General features: G+C 40.8%; 1 protein-coding gene across 6 annotated transcripts in view; it reads right to left on the bottom strand.

The window, feature by feature from the left end:
* Positions 1 to 20,156, bottom strand: part of HSDL2 (hydroxysteroid dehydrogenase like 2) — a 92,298-nt gene that overhangs the window by 22,555 nt on the left and 49,587 nt on the right. For 5 of the 6 annotated variants that reach the window (NR_036651.2, NM_032303.5, NM_001195822.2 and 2 more), the window contains 2 exons: positions 11,226 to 11,420; positions 8,081 to 8,152 (listed from right to left, as the gene is read on the bottom strand). Coding sequence is in view for 5 of the 6 variants with exons in the window: in NM_032303.5 (NP_115679.2) it covers positions 8,081 to 8,152; positions 11,226 to 11,420 (267 nt within the window). In the remaining variant the exon portion in view is untranslated. Of the gene's footprint in view, positions 1 to 8,080; positions 8,153 to 11,038; positions 11,109 to 11,225; positions 11,421 to 20,156 lie in introns of those variants that run through there. The other variant, XM_011519091.4, reaches the window with a different exon arrangement.

The following is a 20,156-nucleotide window of genomic DNA, read 5'->3' as shown; positions in this document are numbered from 1 at the left end:
GTGAATTTTTTTTTTTTTGAAACTGAGTTCCACTCTGTCACCCCGTCTGGAGTGCAGTGACATGATTTTGGCTCACTGCAACCTCCACCTCCTGGGCAGCTGGGATTACAGATGTGCACCACCACACCCGACTAATTTTTTGTATTTTTAGTAGAGACAGAATTTCGCCATGTTGCCCAGGCTGGTCTTGAACACCGGAGCTCAGACAATCCGCCTGCCTCAGCCTCCCAAAGTGCTAGAATTACAGGCATGAGCCACCGCACCCGGCCTAAAATGATGAATTTTTTGGTATATATAAGTTATATCTCGAGTTGTTATTAAAAAGATAATCAGAAAAGAGAAAAGCTGTAGAATTAAAAATGAAATAAAATTTAAAGTCTGGTGCTTTTGAGAAAAAATAAGATAACACAAAATCAGCAACTAATCAAGAAAAAAGAAAAATAATTTTTAAAACAGAGGAAAGAGGCTGGGCGTGGTGGCTCATGCTGGTAATCCTAGCACTTTGGGAAGCCAAGGTGGGTGGATCACCTGAGGTCAGGAGTTTGAGACCAGCCTGACCAACATGGTGAAACCCCGTCTCTACTAAAAATACAAAAATTAGCTGGGCATGGTGGCGTGCACCTGTAATCCTAGCTACTCAGGAGGCTGAGGCATGAGAATTGCTTGAACCTGGGAGGCAGGGGTTGCAGTGAGCCGAGATCGTGCCACTGCGCTCCAGCCTGGGAGACAGAGTGAGACTTTGTCTTAAAAGAAAAAAAAAAAAAAAAAAACAGAGGAAAGAGATAAAACAGTTTGAAAACTTTAAAAAATTGTGTAAGTGAAATACTACATGTCAACTCAAACAGGTTTTGAAACTTCAAATGGATAATTTGGGTTTTTATTTTTTAAAAAGCCTATAATTGAATAAAATAAAAGTTTTGAAAGAAATAACTTCAGAAAAGACCCAAATGACTTAGTAGGTATTTCAAACCTTCAAAGAAAAGAACACAGAGAGAGGCTGGGTGTGGTGGCTCATGCCTGTAATCCCAGCACTTTTGGGAGGCCAAGGCGGGTGGATCATGAAGTCAGGAGATCGAGACCATCCTGGCTAACGCAGTGAAACCCTGTCTCTACTAAAAATAAAAAAATAAAAAAAAAAATTAGCTGGGTGGCAAGCCTGTAATCCTAGCTACTCAGGAGGCTGAGGCAGGAGAATCGCTTGAACCCAGGTGGCGGACGTTGCAGTGAGCCAAGAAGAAAATGCCGCTGCACTCCAGCCTGGGCAACGGAGCAAGACTCCGTCTCAATAAAAAAATAAAAAGAGAGAGAAAGAAGGAAAGAAAGAAAGGAGGAAAGAAAGAAAGAGGTGAAAGAAAGAATAGAAAAAGTACCCATTTACCATATTTAAAATGTAACAAGTTTATTACACTAAAAATAGATACCAATCTAACTTCTCTGATTAAAAAAATGTCCATCTTATACAAATGTTAACACCTTACTTATGGTAAAATCTGAAGATTTTCTCATTAAAATTAAGAATAAAATAAGGATAATTAAAATAAAATAGTTTTAATGAACCTCCTGGAAGTTCAAGTCAGTGTATTAAAATATATGCCAGAAATCATCCTTGAAAGACATTATTATATGCAGACAAGAAGTTTTACCATGTAGAAAATTTAAGATAATAATAACTACAGCAACCAATAGTTACAGGGAGCTTCCTGCATCAAATGTACAATATGATGTACCATCACTCTTATTCCTCACAATAATTACACAAGGAAAGTAAGAGGTGACAAAACTGTTTCAGAGAGCTGAAGTGATATGCCCAAAATGATAAATATAAGTGGCGGGCACCGGATTTGAACCCAGATCTGTCTTACTCCAAAGTCTATGCTTTCAATGAGTACTCACGCTCTCTCAAAAACTATTAGATGTCTTTAAAAACAACAACAAAAAACTCATGATGGTGACCAGATACAGAACATACAAAAGTTAATTTTCCCCTTTTTATTTTTAACTTGGCTTGTTCCAGAAAGCATTTCAATTTGTTTAATAAAAACAAATGCAATTCAAGATTAAATCCAGGCAGTCTGACTCCAGAGCCTGCAATTTTATCCACTGAGTAATAAATATTTCCTCCACATTTCCTTCTATGTTTAGCAATTTGATTTTTTATATAGCCAACATAAAAGCTGAACACAGTGCTGAGATGTGAAACTCACCAGAAGTTGACCAAGCAGAGGCTGCTAAAGCAAGGGCAGCAATGACACAGGCTTCCTTCATGTTTCCAAAGGCAGGTCATGTGTTTCGTTTTAGCAGTTACACCAGAGAGAACTGAGTCTGTCACATAAATAACTGCTGGAACCCCTCCCTTCCTTGTGGGTAACTACTTCAGGTGATTTGTATATTAGTCAAGATATATCATCTACATATGAGGTGCCAAGGAGATTGCAGCAAAAACTTTAGTTTATCCCTGAAAGACATTTGCCAAGAGATAAACTGCATAATTTATCACCTGGATTATTGAGACGTAAACATGATGAGTTTGCACAAGAGAAAAAAAAACTTCAGGAGACAAAAAAAACCTGTGATAGATTTTAAAGGTGCAGCCATCAGACTACAAATATGTAAGCCAGAATGGGAAAGAAATATTTATAGAATTCCAGTACACAAAAGAAGATGACATATGGCTGGTAGTCCCTGACACAGGCTCTCCTAACTTCACACTGAATAAATATAAAAATGCACACACACACAAAAGGGGAAATACTGAATATCACCTAGACTGATACACAATCTATTGTCTGAATCTAGGAAGAGAGGTTCAGCAGCTCTAAGGTACATGGAGTCAGCCCCAGAAAGACAGGTCTCCTGTGCTTTCCCTCATGAAAGATCTCAAAGAATACCTCTGCCCACCCGAACAAAGAAGAGAGGCTCGCGCTGGATCAGACTCTGGGCTTGTACCAACTAAGATCAGAAGCTGTCTCTCTGTTTTACACATGCTACTTTTCAAGACACACTCAATGTGATTCCTCATCCTCATCTTTCAAATCCAGTTCCAAAGCTTGTAGCTCCCAAATAAGATAAGCAGACAGTAGGGGAGTCCTGCAGTGGAGCATCCTGGGAAGTACATGCCCCAAGGCATGGCTGACAAGGATGGGGAGGGGAAGAACCGTGGCAGCAGGGCATTCCAGGAGAGAGTAGTTTTTGTGTTTTTGTTGTGTTTCATGTTGTTTTTGAGATAGGGTCTCCCTCTGTCACCCAGGCTGGAGTGCAATGGCACAATCACAGCTTGCTGCAAGCTTGAACTCCTGGGCTCAAGTGATCCTCCCGCCTCAGCCTCCCAAGTACCTGAGACCACAGGTACATACCACCACGCCTGGCTATTGTTAAAAATTTTTTGTAGAAATGGGATCTTGCTATTGCTACATTGCCCAGGCTCATCTCGAACTCCTGGCCTCGGGCAATCCTCCCACCACAGCCTCCCAAAGTGCTGGGATTACAGGCATTAGCCACTGAGCCAGGCCTGGAGAGTAGTTTTAAACAGAGGAAGTAAAGGAAGGTCACATGTCAGCCTTGCACACTGGCCTGAGCTATTTGCCCAACAGGTGCCACATCTGAAACTACAGCTCAGAAAAAGGAATTCCTCCATATAGACAGGGAAGGGAGCCAAAAGCAACCTACACATTCCTGCCTTTGACTACACTAGCTCTAGAGATATCTCCTAATATGAGGAAGAATTAACAGAAAAAAAAAATAACCTGATGCCTATGAAAAAAATAATGTGCCACAGGCAATGGAGGCTATTCTGAAGAGCAAATATCTAAAACTAATTTACCATGAAACCTACAAGAATTCTTCCACACGAAAACTATATCATTATGATGTGTCAATACAGATTCATCAATTCTAACAAATGTACCACTCTGGTAGAGGATGCTGCTAAGGAAGGAAGTAATGCATGTGTGGGATATATGATATTTCTGTACCTTCTCAGTTTTGCTGTGAATCTAAAACTTTATGCTATAAAAAAAAATAAAGCTTTGGCCAGGCACAGTGGCTCATGCCTGTAATCCCAGCACTTTGGGAGGCCAAGGTGGGTGGATCACCCAAGGTCAGAAGTTTGAGACCAGACTGGCTAATGTGGCGAAACCCCATCTCTACTAAAAATACAAAATTAGCCGGGCATGGTGGCACACCCATGTAATCCCAGCTACTAGGGAGGCTGAGGAAGGAGAATTGCTTTAACCTGGGCGGTGGAGGTTGCAGTGAGCCAAGATCATGCCACTGCATTCCAGCCAGGGTGATAGAGACTCTGTCTCAAAAAAATAAATAAATAAAGCCTTAAAAAAAAAAACTATATGAAACAGGGACAGAAAGTTATATATAACCGGCTGTGATGAAAAGACAATAGGATAAAATGAAAAAGGAAGTGAGCACCATAGCAAATTAACCATTTGAGACAATATGGAACAGAAACTAAGCTATAGAACATCTTATCAGACTGTCCTTTTTAATACAGAGGACAAACTTAACAAGGTCTCCAGAATACAGAAGAGAAAGCCAGAACCAGTGAGAAATGGTGCTAACTACAGGGAAAGGGAAAGGGGAGCCAAGGTAAGAATAAGTGTTTCTGAGAATCCAGAACAACTGCAACAGAAGCAATTAAAACTGTAACTGAAGGAAAATAGGCCCAGCGCCATAGCTCATGCCTGTAATCCCAGCACTTTGGGAGGCCGAGGCAGGATGATTGTTTGAGGCCAGGAGTTTGAGACCAGCCTGGGCAATATAACAAGACCCCCTCTTTACAAAAAATTTAAAAATTAGCTGGACGTGGTGGCATGCACCTCTAGTCCCAGCTATTGGTGAGGCTGAGGTGAGAGGATTGTTTGAGTCCAGGACTTTGAGGGCTGCAGTGGGCTATGATCGAGCCACTGCACTCCAGCTTGGGCAACGGGGTGAGACCCAGTCTCTAAACCAAATAAAAAATAAAAACAAAAATAAGCTGGAAGTCAAAAAAAAAAAAAAAAAAAACAAGACTGAGTGGGCTCCCTGTGTTCCAGTGGAGAGTAGGGGTGGGGGGAATCAATGAAGAAATAATGGTATTGCATTTTCGTTTGTTTGTTTTTTGAGACAGGGGTCTCACTCTCTCACCCAGGCTGGAGTTTAATGGCTTGATCATAGCTCATTACAACCTCAAACTCCTGAACTCAAGTGATCCTCCCACTTCAGCCTCCCAAGTAGCTGGGACTACAGGCATGCACCATCACACCCAGCTAATTTTTGTACTTTTTGTAGAGACAAAGTTTTGCCATGTTGCCCAGACTAGTCTTGAACTCCTGGGCTCAAGCGATCCTCCCACCTCAGCCTCCCAAAGTGCTGGGACTACAGGCGTGAGCCACTATGCCTGGTTGATATTGCTTTTAAGATGGGAAGAAAAAAAAAACCCATCAATTTAAAACTAGGTCCATTGTCTACAATAATTACATATATAAGAGCTAACATACACACGACGAATACTGGAAAAGGTATAATGAAATGGTAACAGGGGTTATTATAAGTTGTTGGTGCAATAGAAAGGTGAACCTCTCCCCCTTTGGAAACAAGGGATACACATGGTTCTCAAAGAGCTGAACTATGAGAGGACATAAGAAATAAACTGAAAGAGGTAAGTTATAGCCCAGGCTACTATCTATATGAGTATATTAATATATCTACAGAAAAGGTCAGGTAAAATTGCTATTGACTGAACCACACAGAATCAAAAAAAGAGAGCTACAGAAGTAAATGCTCCTGCAGCATTAGGTGAGGGAAGTTAGCCAAAGGAATTTGAGTCTTCTAACCTTAAGGGTAAGAGCATTGCTTATGTGGAGATGGCTATAGGCAAAGTTATCCCTATCAAAGCCTGATGCCAGTAAACACTGATTTTACACTCTACCTATCTAACTCCCTTGTTCTGATTCCATGGTCATGAAATGACCTTCTGACTATGATTCTGTTTCATGCACAATTATATCCAAAGGAAGAGAATGTGCTGATCAAGCACCTACATGTTTAACCTATGAGATGGCAACTCTTTGTTATAAATTAATAAACTGGATTATCAGGGGAAAGAATGTGCTAATTTACGTATTTATTTGAGACAGGGTCTTGCTCTGTTGCCCAGGCTGGAGTGCTGTAGCTCAATCATAGCTCACTGCAGCCTCAAACTCTTGAGCTCAAGGGATCCTCCTGCTTCAGTCTCCTGAGTAGCTGAGACTACAGGCATGTGCCACCATGGCCAGCTAATTTTTTTTATTTTTTTGTAGAGACAGGGTCTCACCATGTTGCCCAGACTAAGAATATGCTAAAATTTAAAAGACTAAGTATTCAAGTGTTAGGAAAGCCATTTAAGTTTACTGGTTAAAGACATGGGCTTTGAAATCAGAGAAATATGAGTTTAAATCTTGGTTCTGCCACCTGCTGGCTGTGCAATTGCAGCTGTAAAATGAGGGGAGTATCTGTCTTGGGGATTAATGGTATTAAACAGGACAATGCATGTAAAGTACTTAGCACAGTGTTTGGCACATAGGAGGTGCCCAGTAAATATTTGTTGAATAAACAAAAAGAACATACATGATCAATAAGTGGTTCTTATTTAAAATTTGGAGTTTAAATGATCTCAGTTCATGCATGCCTTCTTCTAAAAGACAGATCCAACCTTAGGGCGTTGGGCAAAAATCGGAGTTTGGGACTTAACTAACTTGAAGACCAGACTCTTCTAGAGTTTGATAAGCTCTCTAGGTATTTTCCACCATTCTGTAAGAGGCCTTTTGAGAAACAGACTGACAGTCTTGTTTTTCCTGGTTTTAATACTCTGGGTAGTAGGATTATGAGTAACTATTTTCCTTTCTATTGTTTTAAATTGTCTGTAATACAAAAAAGTCCTTTTTATTACCTAAGTAATTTTTTTAAATTACCATAAAAATCTGGAAAAAGAAAAGATAAATAATAAAGAATAAATAAAAGAAAGCTGGAAATAAGGTTTGGCTCTAAAATGCATTGCAGTAAGGTGCCACAGATTTGCTAAAGGTATCAAGGAAATTCATCCCTACATTTTCTATCAGACTTCTAAAAAAAAAAATCGATGAGAGTCATAGCATCTATAAGATAAAAATAAGGTAAGGGCCCAGAAGAAGCACAGCCATTCTTATTAGTAAACCATGAGAGAAATTCTTCCCACAGGTATTCATTAAAGTGTTTCTTCAAGTAAGCCACTGGCAAAATGTCAGAACACAAAGTCTAAAATGTAAACTCTGGACCAATTCAAGGGCACTATTGTTTATGAATTACAGAAACAAAACAAAGTAAAACCCAAACCTCCTTTGAAGTTGATTTCTTTCATAAAATAGTCACATAACACAAACTGTGGAAATGGTGTTAGATGTATTTGATATATGACACACTTTTCCTCAAAATAACATATCAACATGAAATACCTAAAGACAGTGCAAAAGAAAATAAATAAAACCTAAAAAAAAGTTTTTTCAGACTTGTTTTTAACCAAACGCAAAGAATATATTAATAACTTCTTCTTTTTTTTTTTTTTTTTTTTTTTTTTGAGACAGGGTCTTGCTCTGTCACCCAGGCTAGAGTGCAGTGGCACGATCACGGCTCACTGAAACTTCAACTTCCCGGGATCAGGTGATCCTCCCACCTCAGCCTCCTGAGTAGCTGGGACTACAGTCTCGTGCCACCACGCCCAACGTATTTTTTTTTTGTATTTTTTTTGTAGAGACGGGGTTTCGCCATGTTGCCCAAGCTCGTCGCAAACTCCTGGACTCAAGTGATCCATTCGCCTCAGCCTCCCAAAGTGCTGGGATTACAGGTATGAGCCACTGTGCCCAGCCTTATTAAAACTTCTTACTGGTAGATGAACAAAACAACCTTCTTTACTAGAATTAACTGAGATCTCACATTACTTGTTTAGTTTAAAGTACAAAACAGTTTAAAAACAGAAGGCAGAAATGTCACTGTTATAGGATCAATTCCATATTTTGGAAGAAATACATAAGTTAGGATTTATATTTTCTAACATAAAATATAGTCTAGATCTTACCAGTTGATTCCACTTTCTTGCTAACTGCTTCTGGGTATTCATCTAAGAAGAAATCTGGTTGCAAAGGATGACCTGAAAAATTGACCCCAAACCATTAGGTTAATGTAACTACAACATAGTAAGATTTTAACATCTGTTTAATAAACATATCTATTTTATTAAAAATCTTTCTGGTGCAAAAGAAAAGGCCTCTGTGAGAACTGTCGAATGACCTGATCTTCATTAAATTAATTTTCTCATAATTCAGTTATCTTTCTCTCCTCTGATAAATTTTATCTTCAAGATTTAATCCCCAAAAGATCACCTGTTCTGTAAAGCCTTTACCTGCTCTCCCAGGAACCTCTGCCCTTCTCATCCTACACTGCTCTTCTGGCCCACATTCTTCCGAAGTTGTCAGGACTTATTTCTTACCTGCCGTCCTAAAAGCAGAGGGCCCCTTCTTAAGAAGGACTTTCTTCTCAGCATTAGTGCACTTGGGTCTCTTCTCTCTTTCCCTCTTCCTCTCACTCCATCATCATGAACACTAAGCTATCCTATTCCATCCTATTCCACTGGGTTATTATTATTATTATTGACACAGGGTCTCACTGTCACCCAGGCTGGAGTGCAGTGATATGATCTTGGCTCACTGCAACCTCCACCTCCTGGGCTCAAGTGATCCTCCTCCCTCAGCCTCCCAAGTAACAGGGACCACAGGTGCAAGCCACCATATCCAGCTAATTTTTATTTATTTATTTATTATTTATTTATTTATTTATTTTTTGAGACGGAGTCTCGCTCTGTCACCCAGGCTTGAGTGCAGTGGCACGATCTCAGCTCATGGCACCCTCTGCCTCCCAGGTTCAAGCAATCCTCCTGCTTCAGCCTCCCAAGTAGCTGGGATTACAGGTGCCCATCACTATGCCTGGCTACTTTTCATATTTTTAGTAGAGATAGAGTTTCACCATATTGGTCAGGCTGGTCTCAAACTCCTGACCTAGGATATCCACCCACCTCAGCCTCCCAATGTGCTGGGATTATGGGCGTGAGCCACCGTGCCTGAACACTCATTTTTATTTTTTGTAGAGATGGGGTTTTGCCATGTTGCCCAGTATGGTCTTGAACTCCTTGGCTCAAGCGATCCACTGGCCTTGGCCTCCCAAAGTGCTGGGATTACAGGTGTGAGCCACTGCACACAGCCTCCACTGGGTCTTATTTTCAGCTAATGGTTGTGGTTAGCAAATAGGTTAACTGTTTTAATTACACTGATAACTCCAAGACATGTGCACACTAGAAGATTTAAAGGCCACAAAGCCTTCAAAACTGTAGTACAGTGAGATGTTAACAATCTCAATTGTTCTCTTTTTCTTTTCTCTCTTTTTTTTTTTGACATGGGGTCTTGCTGTTTTGCCCAGGCTGGTCTCAAACTTCTGGGCTCAAATGAGCCTCCTGCCTCGGTCTCCTGCCTCTCTCTCTCTCTTTTTCAGAAGTTTAAGCAAACTTCTGGAGGGCAGGAATGAATTCATCTTTGTTATATCCTAATATCATAGTATCTGGTCATTTTAAGTTCTCAATACTTAATAGGATTTTTAATTTAAATAAAATTTTAAAACTTGCGCACAATTACACTGTGTCTTTAAAACCTAAGGTAATAATTATATTCCTGGGTACCAGGACCCGGAAGACCTGAATCTGGTCAGGTTCTGCCACCTATTAGCCATCTGCTCTTAGGCAAAGGCTCAATCTCTCTGAGCCTGTTTTTCCACTTGTAAATATTAACTACTAAATATTCTGAGTGTACTATATGCTGGGCACTGTGCCAAACACATTATACATTATCACATTTAGCCTTTACAAAAATCTTGTATGAAATGTATCATTCTCTTAAGTTTACCAATATGGAAATTGAGGCTGAGACAGACAAACTGGGTGACATGCTCAAAGCTGCATAGCAGTGAGCAGCAGAGCTGCAATATGAAGCTGGGTTGTCTTCTCCCAAATTTCGTGTTCTTAATCACTAAGCATTACTTTCCGTACAGAATTGTTATGCAGGCTAAATAGATAATGCATATAAGAGTGCTTTGTAAAACTATAATCCGCTATTTACTTTAGTTTGAACTGCAGAGATGAGCAGGGATGATACAAATATAAACGTGGTTTGTGTCATTTAGAAGCTCAGTTTAATGAATAATATTTAAAATATACTTTAGCGCAAATAAATATAACTCCTATGTATGGCTATATTAGAATACATCATATTCTATATGGTAAAAATCCATTATTATCATTATCATCCCCAATTTCAGAGAGGGAGAGTTACTTAACAAGAGGGCTTTCTAGAAGCTTCTCAGATCACTTTACTGTCCATGAGACAGAGCCTGCCCACTCATCTACACCATCTGTCATTAAGCTACTCTAAGAGACTGCGCTTAAGAGACAAATATTTAGAGAGTCCACAATCATAAATTATTTTAAACAAAAAAATTCATTACTGTGCCAGGTGCAGTGGCTCACGCCTGTAATCCTAACACTTTAGGAGGCCAAGGCAGGCAGATCACTTGAGCTCAGGAGTTCAAGACCAGCCTGGGCAACATGGTGAAACCCCACATCTACAAATACAAAAATTAACCAGGTGTGGTGGCACATGCCTATAGTCCCAGCTACTCTAGAGGCTGAGGTGGAAGGATTGCTTGAGCCTGGGAGGTAGAGGTTGCAGTGAGCTGAGATTGCGCCACTACACTCCAACCTGGGTGACAGAGTGAGACCCTTTCTCAAATAAATAAATAAATACATAACCCACTACTGTACCATCTGTTACCACATATTCTTGAACAAAATCTTTACTCTGTGATTTTAAGACCAACTTTAAAAAATAATTTTCATTTCTTATTTCGAGATTTAGAAGTGGCTAGTAACTGATCTGACTTTCTGTGCTTATATATATATATATATATATCACTTCAAAAGCCCTCAACTCACCTCTATTTTTCATTCATCTTTTTTTTTAAGTTGTGTTGGTATGGGTTTTCTTCCTTCATTGGGAAGACAGCTTTTAAAAGAACACATTCATTTTACAATCACACAAACACACACAAAAAACAGATATGTTCATTGCAGAAAATATGGAAAAACGTATCACTACTTTTAAAAACTATAAAAGCATTACCTGGTTTAATTGCATAAACGTCAAAATTTTCTATTCCTTCTTCTTTTAAGATATTTTCATCAATGACAAAGTTGCCAGTAAAACTTTTTGGCTTTTGGAAAATGGAATATGCTGCATCTGCAATGATATCAACTTTTCTACACTGGCTTTCGATACCAGGTCCTCCCAGCATATCCATAGCAGCAGTGTGTATGGCTGTAGAGAAAACACACACACACATACACTCATAACTCCAAATCAAATAATAAAACTATGGAAGTAACAAGCAAGCACCACCCTTCACAATTATCAAGGCTAATCCTTTCATTTCTTAGCTGATGAAAACAAAGTCCAGATTGCTTAAGGGATTTGCCAAATTTTTTTTGTTTTTTTGTTTTTATTTTTGTTTTTGAGACAGTCTTGCACTGTCACCCAGGCTGGGGTGCAATGGCGTGATCTCCGCTCACCGCAACCTCTGCCTCCTGGGTTCAAGTGATTGAACCCAGCCTTCTGAGTAGCTGGGATTACAGGCGTGCGCCACCACTGCTGGCAATTTTTTTGTATTTTTAATAGAAACGGGGTTTCACCATGTTGGCTGGTCTCGAACTCCTGACCTTGTGATCCGTCCGCCTCAGCCTCCCAAAGTGCTGGGATTACAGGCATGAGCCACCACGCCTGGCCCCAGGATTTACCAAATGTTCTACGGAGAGAACTGGGTGGAAAACACATGTTCCTTACCCTGCAACACTGCCTTATACTACAGACCAAACCATAAGACTCAAAGTAAAATTCAATGAACTTTCTGATTTAGAATGCTCAAGAATTTGCATGCCTGTTTAAGGAATAACTGAAGAGACCTCTAATAGCTTCCAATTGATTCTCCTGATAACAGCTAAGAGATTACTGCCTGAAAACAGACAGTACCAACAGTCTTAATGCCAAAGATTTCCTTTCACATAAACATATGGAGTGCGTATGAGGCTTAAAACATCAGCATTGCCTGTGATGACTCCTTCTCTGGGAAGAGAGCTTGTTTCGCCTCTTTAACACCTGTCAGCCACCACCAAACACATGCACACATTCTTGTGGGTATTCACTGAACCAACAATACCACTGATTATACAGTGCACCATTACTTTAGGGACCACTAAGGAAACAAAAAAGCTGCCAATTAAATTATGATATATCATCTATTGTAAGAAACAGACTGGTATCTGAGATGTACAAATATAAAGCATGGGCATCTCAGAATCAATGAAAGTAGTATAAACTCTTTCACCTAGTCAGTGAATAGGTTCCTTGAAAAACACTCAATAAATATTGGTTGGATTTCTGGGGGTCCTTTTTAAATTCACACAACACTGTTTTGTAGAAAATATTAGAAAATAGCTAGGTGCGGTGGCTCACGCCTGTAATCCCGGCACTGTGGGAGGCCGAGGTGGGTGGATCACTTGAGGTCAGGAGTTTGGGACAAGCCTGGTCAACATGGTGAAACCCCATCTCTACTAAAAATACAAAAATTAGCCAAGCATGGTGGCGAGCGCCTGTAGTCCCAGCTACTTGGGAGGCAGAGGTAGGAGAATTGCTTGAACCTGGGAGGCAGAGGTTGCAATGAGCTGAGATTACTCCACTGTTCTCCAGCCTGGGTGACAGAGCGAGACTCCGTCTCAAAAAAAAAAAAAAAAAGAAAAAAAGAAAAGAAAGAGAAGTAAAAGGAAAAAATTGCTTAATTAATTATAATTTCCCTATCCAGGGATAACTGCTGTTAATGTTTGCATAAAATTTTTACCATGTTAGGTGTACTTTTAAAATTATGTCTCTTATGTGAAGTAACTTTAAACTCTACAATTAACAGTACATTATTAATTACACATTGTCAACAGTAACATCTCAATTTTCTTACATATATCCTAGTTTACATCAAACAAGAAAAGTCTATTTATTTATTTATTTACTTTCCAACATAATTCATAGGTTCACAGAAAGTCAACTTATTTAAATGTACTTAGGTTTGTGAGTTTCTAGTATTTTAGTTAAAGCTTATTTCCATATATTGTTAAAATACAATTTTAAATTATTACATACTAGAATAACTTACATATTTTCATCTATAAGATGAAATGTCTGTAGCTTTTAAGAGCCATTGGCCCTTTTTCATTCATTTAACAAATAGTTATTAAGCACTTACTATATGTAAGTCAGGCGCTATTCTAGATATTAAGGACACAGATGTTGACAAAACAGACATAAGGCATCTACCTTCATGGAACTTACATCCCTATTTTGTTTAATGTTCAATTAATTTAGGGAATTTCTTGAAAGCACTGAGTTAGAAGACACTTTTCTACTTCATAACTAAAAATCATTTACTAGGAATAATTTTTTTTTTTTTTTTTTTTTTTTTGAGATAGGGTCTCACACTGTCACCCAGGCCAAAGGCAGTGGTGAGATCATGGCTCTCTGCAGCCTTGATCTCCTGGGCTCTCAAACGATCCTCCTACCTCACCCTCCCACCATATCCAGCTTTTTTTTTTGGTAGAAATGGGGTCCTGCTATGTTTCCCAGGCTGGTCTCCAACTCGTGGGCTCAAGCCGTCCTCCTGCCTTGGCCTTCCAAAGTGCTGGGATTACAGGTGTGAGCCACCGTGTCCAGCCCTAGAAATAATTTTTTCCTTAACCAACAGATCAAGAGCAAGAGCTCTGGTCTCACTCTTGAACTGATCCTTTATTAATAATAAAAAAAAAATAGCAGCTGAATGTTGTGGCTAGAGCCTATAATCCCAGATATTCTGGAGGCTGAGGCAGGAAGATTGCTTGAGCCTAGGAATTTGAGGCTGCAGTGAGCTATGACTGTGCCATTGCATTCTAGCCTGGGTGACAGAGTGAGACCCTATTTGTTTGTCAAAAAAACAGAAAAATTAAAAATGAATAAAATAAAATAAAAAATAGCACCTACCATTCATTAAGTGTACCCTGTGCCAGGCATGCTGTTACCTATTTTACATACATTATCTTACCTAATTCTTAGAACCCTGAGGTAGGTCCTGTTGTTATTCCCATTTTATAAATAGGAGCAGTGAAGCACAGAGAAGTTAAGTAACTTGCCCAAGGTCACAGAAGCTAAAATTCAAACACCCAGCAGCCTGACTTCAGAGCCAGGCTCTCATCCTTAATGCAACTAAATGGTTAACCTTGTTAACCAAAGTTCTTGGAGTTCAGTTATCATCTCACTCCCGAAAACTGCAGAACTTTTCTGTACATAATTGAGTATAATCTATTTTGAGACTATATGCATACATGCACACTGCTAGTCTCCATGTAAACTACATGAATTGTACAAGAATCCTTAAAAACTCTAAATTAGAAGTCTAATAAAATATGTCATGTATAAGTATATACATGCTGTGTGTGTGTGTGTGAGTGTCTATAGAATAAGAAATGTTCCTCCAACCTATCATTACTTTAACAATCTTTCTAGGAAAGATACAAAGAAGGTACAACTAGGCACTCAAAACTCAAGGAGTGGGCCATTGAGTATTTCTCAACACAGATTTTGCAATGCCAACAAGCTAACCCAATAGGTTAGAAAAAACTGGTAACAATAAAAGCAGGTTAACAGTAGGATCAATCAAATGAAATTCACTGATGATTTCTGGGAAAGAAAATAAGCAAAATTTATAATGAAAGCAGATAAGCCATGGATCACAAGAGTCAACAACATCGACCTGAAAACTTAAGTCTTATTAAGAAATAACTGAAGAGACATCTAATAGCTTCCAATTGATTCTCCTGATAACAGCTAAGAGATTACTGCCTGAAAACAGACAGTACCAACAGTCTTAAGACCAAAGATTTCCTTTCACATAAACATATGAAGTGTGTATGAGGCTTAAAATATCAGCATTGCCTGTGATGACTCCTTCTCTGGGAAGAGAGCTTGTTTCCCCTCTTTGACACCTGTCAGCCACCACCAAACATATCCACACACTCATGTGTGTATCCACTGAACCAATGATACCACTGATTATACAGCGCACCATTACCTTAGGGACCACTAAAGAAAGAAAAAAGCTGCCAATTAAACTATGATATATCATCCATTGTAAGATACAGACTGAGATCAGAGATGTACAAATATAAAGCATGGGCATGTCAGAATCAATGAAAATGGTATAAACTGTTTAACCTAGTTAGTGAACAGGTTTTGATTTCTAGCACCAGACAGGAAGGAGGTGAGCTGCCACCTTGTCGCCTCACCCTCCCTGGTTAGCTGAGTTCCCAAATCTATTTGTAATATAGTCCAGGTGACAGAAGTCTGCAGCTGCTCTGTGGTACTTCTACTGCCTTCCTCTCTGTAGCCATTACCAAATCAGTAGCTGCCATTCCCAGACTCCCCACCCCAAGCCCAAATCAAATCCACCCAAAAGTGGACTTTCCTGCTTCTACCATACTTGCCCAGACCAGTCATGAGGTAAGAGTAGGCATTGTGAATAGCAGCCATCATCCCTCTCCCCTTCCCCACCCTCCATTTCAGCAAGAACCATGAAACAGGTCTTATAAAAAGAAAAAAATTACAATTCTGGAGGTGACCTAGTTGGAAGCCTGAAATTCCATGTTGTGAAACAACTAGAGGCCGGCCCTCTGATCCTTTCTCTGGATGTGCTGAATTCAGCAGGGTGGAAGTGCTAAAACCAGGAGGAGCAATGAAGTCAGTGTTGAGAAGAACATGCAGCTGAGAAGCCAAGTGGGAGACCGGGACACTGCTCTGATTGAGGATAATGTATGTTACACTGTACCCACTCCGTTAAGCACAATAAATCTCCTTTTTCTTGAAAGGCAATAATGTTGGGAGATTACTTCTGGTTCCAGCTGACATAAAGAGAGTCACTCTACGCTGTCGTCTAAGATGAGGAGATGAGTGTTTTCTTTTAAATAGAGGCCTCTCAAACAGCCAAGAGCCTGAACACCCTCTCAAATCCATTTTCACTCCTCCATTTTCATTGCCTCACTCATGAATAATGTAATATTCTAGCTAGCTTTCCTGCCTCTTCTCTCTACAGTCTTACAAGCCATCCCATATTCAGATGCCAGATTAAACTTCCTAAACCTCATCAGCAACCATATTACTTCACTGCTCCTATTTTCCCCAGTTTATTATTAATCCTCTGCTTCTAAGATTCTTCAGTGGCTCTCCACTGAATATAGGTTAAAATTCAAGCTCCTAAACTTGGCAGACAAGACCATCCATCTCATCCATCTTCCCCACACTCTCAAACTCACCCAACATTCCAGTCAACCTGTACAACTTGAGTTGCTCAAGTTCAGTGGGAAATAACAAGCCCACACCCTATCATACATACACCAACCTTGTAGTTCCACCGCACAGAAAGTATTTTCCCAAACTGCAATCTTTGCATGCGTCGCTCCCTCTGCCAAGAAATGTCTTTCCCAGTTCTCCTTTTTGAAAAATTCCAACATCCCCTTGAGATCTCATTTCAATTGTTTACCTACTTTTGAAAATCTACTGCTCTGATCCTTTATCCTGAGCTACTATGTCTCAAAAGCACCCTGTAGGCCAGGCACGGTGGATCACACCTGTAATCCCAGCACTTTGGGAGGCTGAGGTGGGTGGATCACTTGAGGTCAGGAGTTCTAGAGCACCCTCGCCAATGTGGTGAAACCCCTGTCTCTACTAAAAAAAAAAATACAAAAATTAGCCAGGTGTGGTGGTGCATGCCTGTAGTCCCAGCTACTCAGGAGGCTGAGGCAGGATAATCACTTGAACTCAGGAGGCACAGGTTTCAGTGAGCCGAGATGGCGCCACTGCATTCCAGCCTGGGTGACAGAGATTCTGTCTCAAAAAACAAAAACAAAACACAACATCCAGTACATAATTCATCATACCATGCACCACAAGGAACATGACTGTAAATTGGATTTAGTGTGTCATCAAGTCTAGGACCAAATAACATCACTGGCTCCAAGATGTCTAGTAAACCTTCTAAAATGAATATCTTGAAGCTAAAGCAAAGATCTCAGCAATGAGCTGATTTTTCCTGCTGGACCAGATAATGCCCTCTATATTCCCTGATACAGAACATTCTGCCTATTATATAAGCTTTGTCCAGAATATATTTTGGAGCTAGGCAGAAGGTAATCATATTGCACATTCATTCACTCATTTACTCACTCATCAAATATTTATTGAATGTCTACAATGACTATAATAAAACAAACAAAGCAAACACTGTCCCTATCCTCAAGAAGTTTTCATTCTAGCAAAGAAGACACTGAACAACCATAATTATAAATTAATAATTACAAACGGTGTAAGTGATGTGAAGGGGATGTACAGACTACTAAACCTGACGATCAGTCCCATTTTGTAAGAACTATCAGCATAATCTGACACAATTGATCACTCCCTGTATTAGTCTGTTCTCGCATTACTATAAAGAAATACCTAGGCTCGGCACAGTGGCTCACACCTGTAATCCCAGCACTTTGGGAGGCCTAGGTGGGTGGATCACCTGAGGTCAGGAGTTCAAGACCAGACTGGTCAACATGGTGAAACCCCGTCACTACTAATAATACAAAAAAATTAGCCAGGTGTGGTGGCGCACGCCTGTAATCCCAGCTACTCAAGAGGCTGAGGCAGGAGAATCGCTTGAACCTGGGAGGCGGAGGTTGCAGTGAGCTGAGATCGCACCACTGCACTCCAGTCCAGCCTGGGCAACAGAGCAAGACTCCGTCTCAAAAAAAAAAAAAAAAAAGAAAGAAATACCTGAGACTGGGTAATTTATAAAAGAGGTTTAACTGGCTCACAGTTCTGCATGCTGTACAAGCATGGCTCCAACATCACTTGGCTTCTGGGGAGGCCTTGGGGAGCTTGTACTCACGGTGGAAGGTGAAGAGGGAGCAGGCACGTCACATGGCAAAAGCAGGAACAAGAGAGCCAGGTGGTGTGCTACACACTTTTAAAAACGAGATGAGAACTCACTCACTATGGTGAGGGCAGTACCAAGGAGGATGGTGCTAAACCGTTCAGGAGAAAGCTGCCCCCATGATCCAATCACCTCCCACCAGACCCCACCTCCAACACTGGGGGTGACATTTTGACATGAGATTTGGGTGGAGACAACATCCAAACTGTATCACTCCCCAAGCTCCTTCTTCAGTCGGCTTTCATCTCCTCTTTCATCTTCCTTTCATCTTCCTACCTTACTCTCCTATGTGGGTCTTCCTCTTCTTCCCAACCTTTCAATGTTGAAATGGACAATAGTCCTTTCTCTTCTACTCACTGCCTAGATGGTATCATGTAGTTTTGTGGCTTTTTATATGTTCTATATGCTGATAACCCACAGATTTTTTTATCTCCAACCTGGACCGCTCTCCTGACCCTCATTCACCAGGCCTGCTGCCTAATGACTGTCCCCACTTGGATGTTCAAACACAACACCCCACACAATTCCTAAGCTTGCCCTCCATCTGCTCTATCTGCAGCTTTCTCCATCTCAGTTCCTGGCGACTCCACTGTTCTAGTAACTCAAGCCAGAAATCTTTATTTTTTTTAAATTTTTTTTTTTTTTTTTTTTTGAGTTGGAATCTCACTCTGTCACCCAGGCTGGAGTGCACTGGCGTGATCTCGGCTCACTGTAACCTCCACCTCCCGGGTTCAAGCAATTCTTCTGCCTCAGCCTCCTGAGTGGATGGGACTACAGGCACGCGTCACCATGCCAGGCTAATTTTTTGTTTTTAGTACAGATGGGGTTTCACCATGTTGGCCAGGCTGGTCTCGAACTCTTGACCTCAGGTGATTCACCCACCTGGGCCTCCCCAAAGTGCTGGGATTACAGATGCGAGCCACCGCACCAGGCTATTTTCCAGAAATCTTGGAGTCACTGTTGACTCTTTCTCTCACATCCCAAAGGCAATCCATCAGCAGATACTGTTGGTTCTACCTTGAAAATATATCAGAATCTGGCCACTGTCCACCACCTTTACTGCTGTCATCCTGGTCACAGCCACCAAAATCTGTGCCTCAGTTCCTGCAATAGCCTCCTAACTGTTCCCCCCTTTGCCCCTCAAGAATCTAGGCTCATCAGAACAGCCAGAGAGGTTTTTTAAACATTTAGGTTTGATCAGGTCCCTTCTCTGCTTGAAAACCTGAAACAGCTCCTCATTTCACCCAGAGTAATCTAAGACCAAGTCTTGGCAAGGGCCTATAACATCTGACCCCCATTTCCTTATGGACATCGTCTCATTTTCTACTCCTCTTCCCTCACTCTGGCGACACTGGTCTTCTCCCTGCTCTTGCATCATGCCAGCCATACTAGTCCACAGGACCTATCCACTGCTGCTTCCTCTGCCTTGCATGTTTTCCCTCAGATAACCTTTGGCTAACTGTATTACCCCCAAGACTAACGGTATGCTCAAATGTCAAAGTCTATGCTCAAACGTCACCTTCTCAGAAAGGCCAAACCTACCTTCCCTGGTGGTCTGACGGTTAGGACTTGGCACTCTCAGAAAGGCCAAACATCTCTTTTCTTTCTTTTTTTTTTTTTGAGATAGGGTTTAACTCTGTTGCCCAGGCTGGAGTGCAGTGGTATGATCACGGCTCACTGCAGCCTTGAACTCCTAAGGCTCAGGTGATCCTCCTGCCTCAGCCCCCTGAGTAGTTGGGACGACAGGCGCACACCACCACACCCTGCTACTTTTTGTAGATATGGAGTTCTGCCATGTTGCTCAGGCTGGTCTCGAACTCCTGGGCTCCAGCGATCGGCCTGCTTTGACCTCCCAAAGTGTTGGGATTACAAGCAGGAGCCAACACTCCTGGCCTAATGCCAAACCTTTCTACTCTATTTTAAATTGCCACCTTCCTTCCTCAATGGCTGAGACTCCAATCCCCCTTCCTTTGTTCTGTTTTTCATAGCATATTACCTTTAGCATACTA

Source organism: Homo sapiens, chromosome 9, assembly GCF_000001405.40.
Source record: "Homo sapiens chromosome 9, GRCh38.p14 Primary Assembly".
NCBI classification, from domain to species: Eukaryota; Metazoa; Chordata; class Mammalia; order Primates; family Hominidae; genus Homo; species Homo sapiens.
The sequence above is the reverse complement of the archived record's forward strand: the minus strand, read 5'-3'. Positions and strand labels throughout refer to the sequence as shown.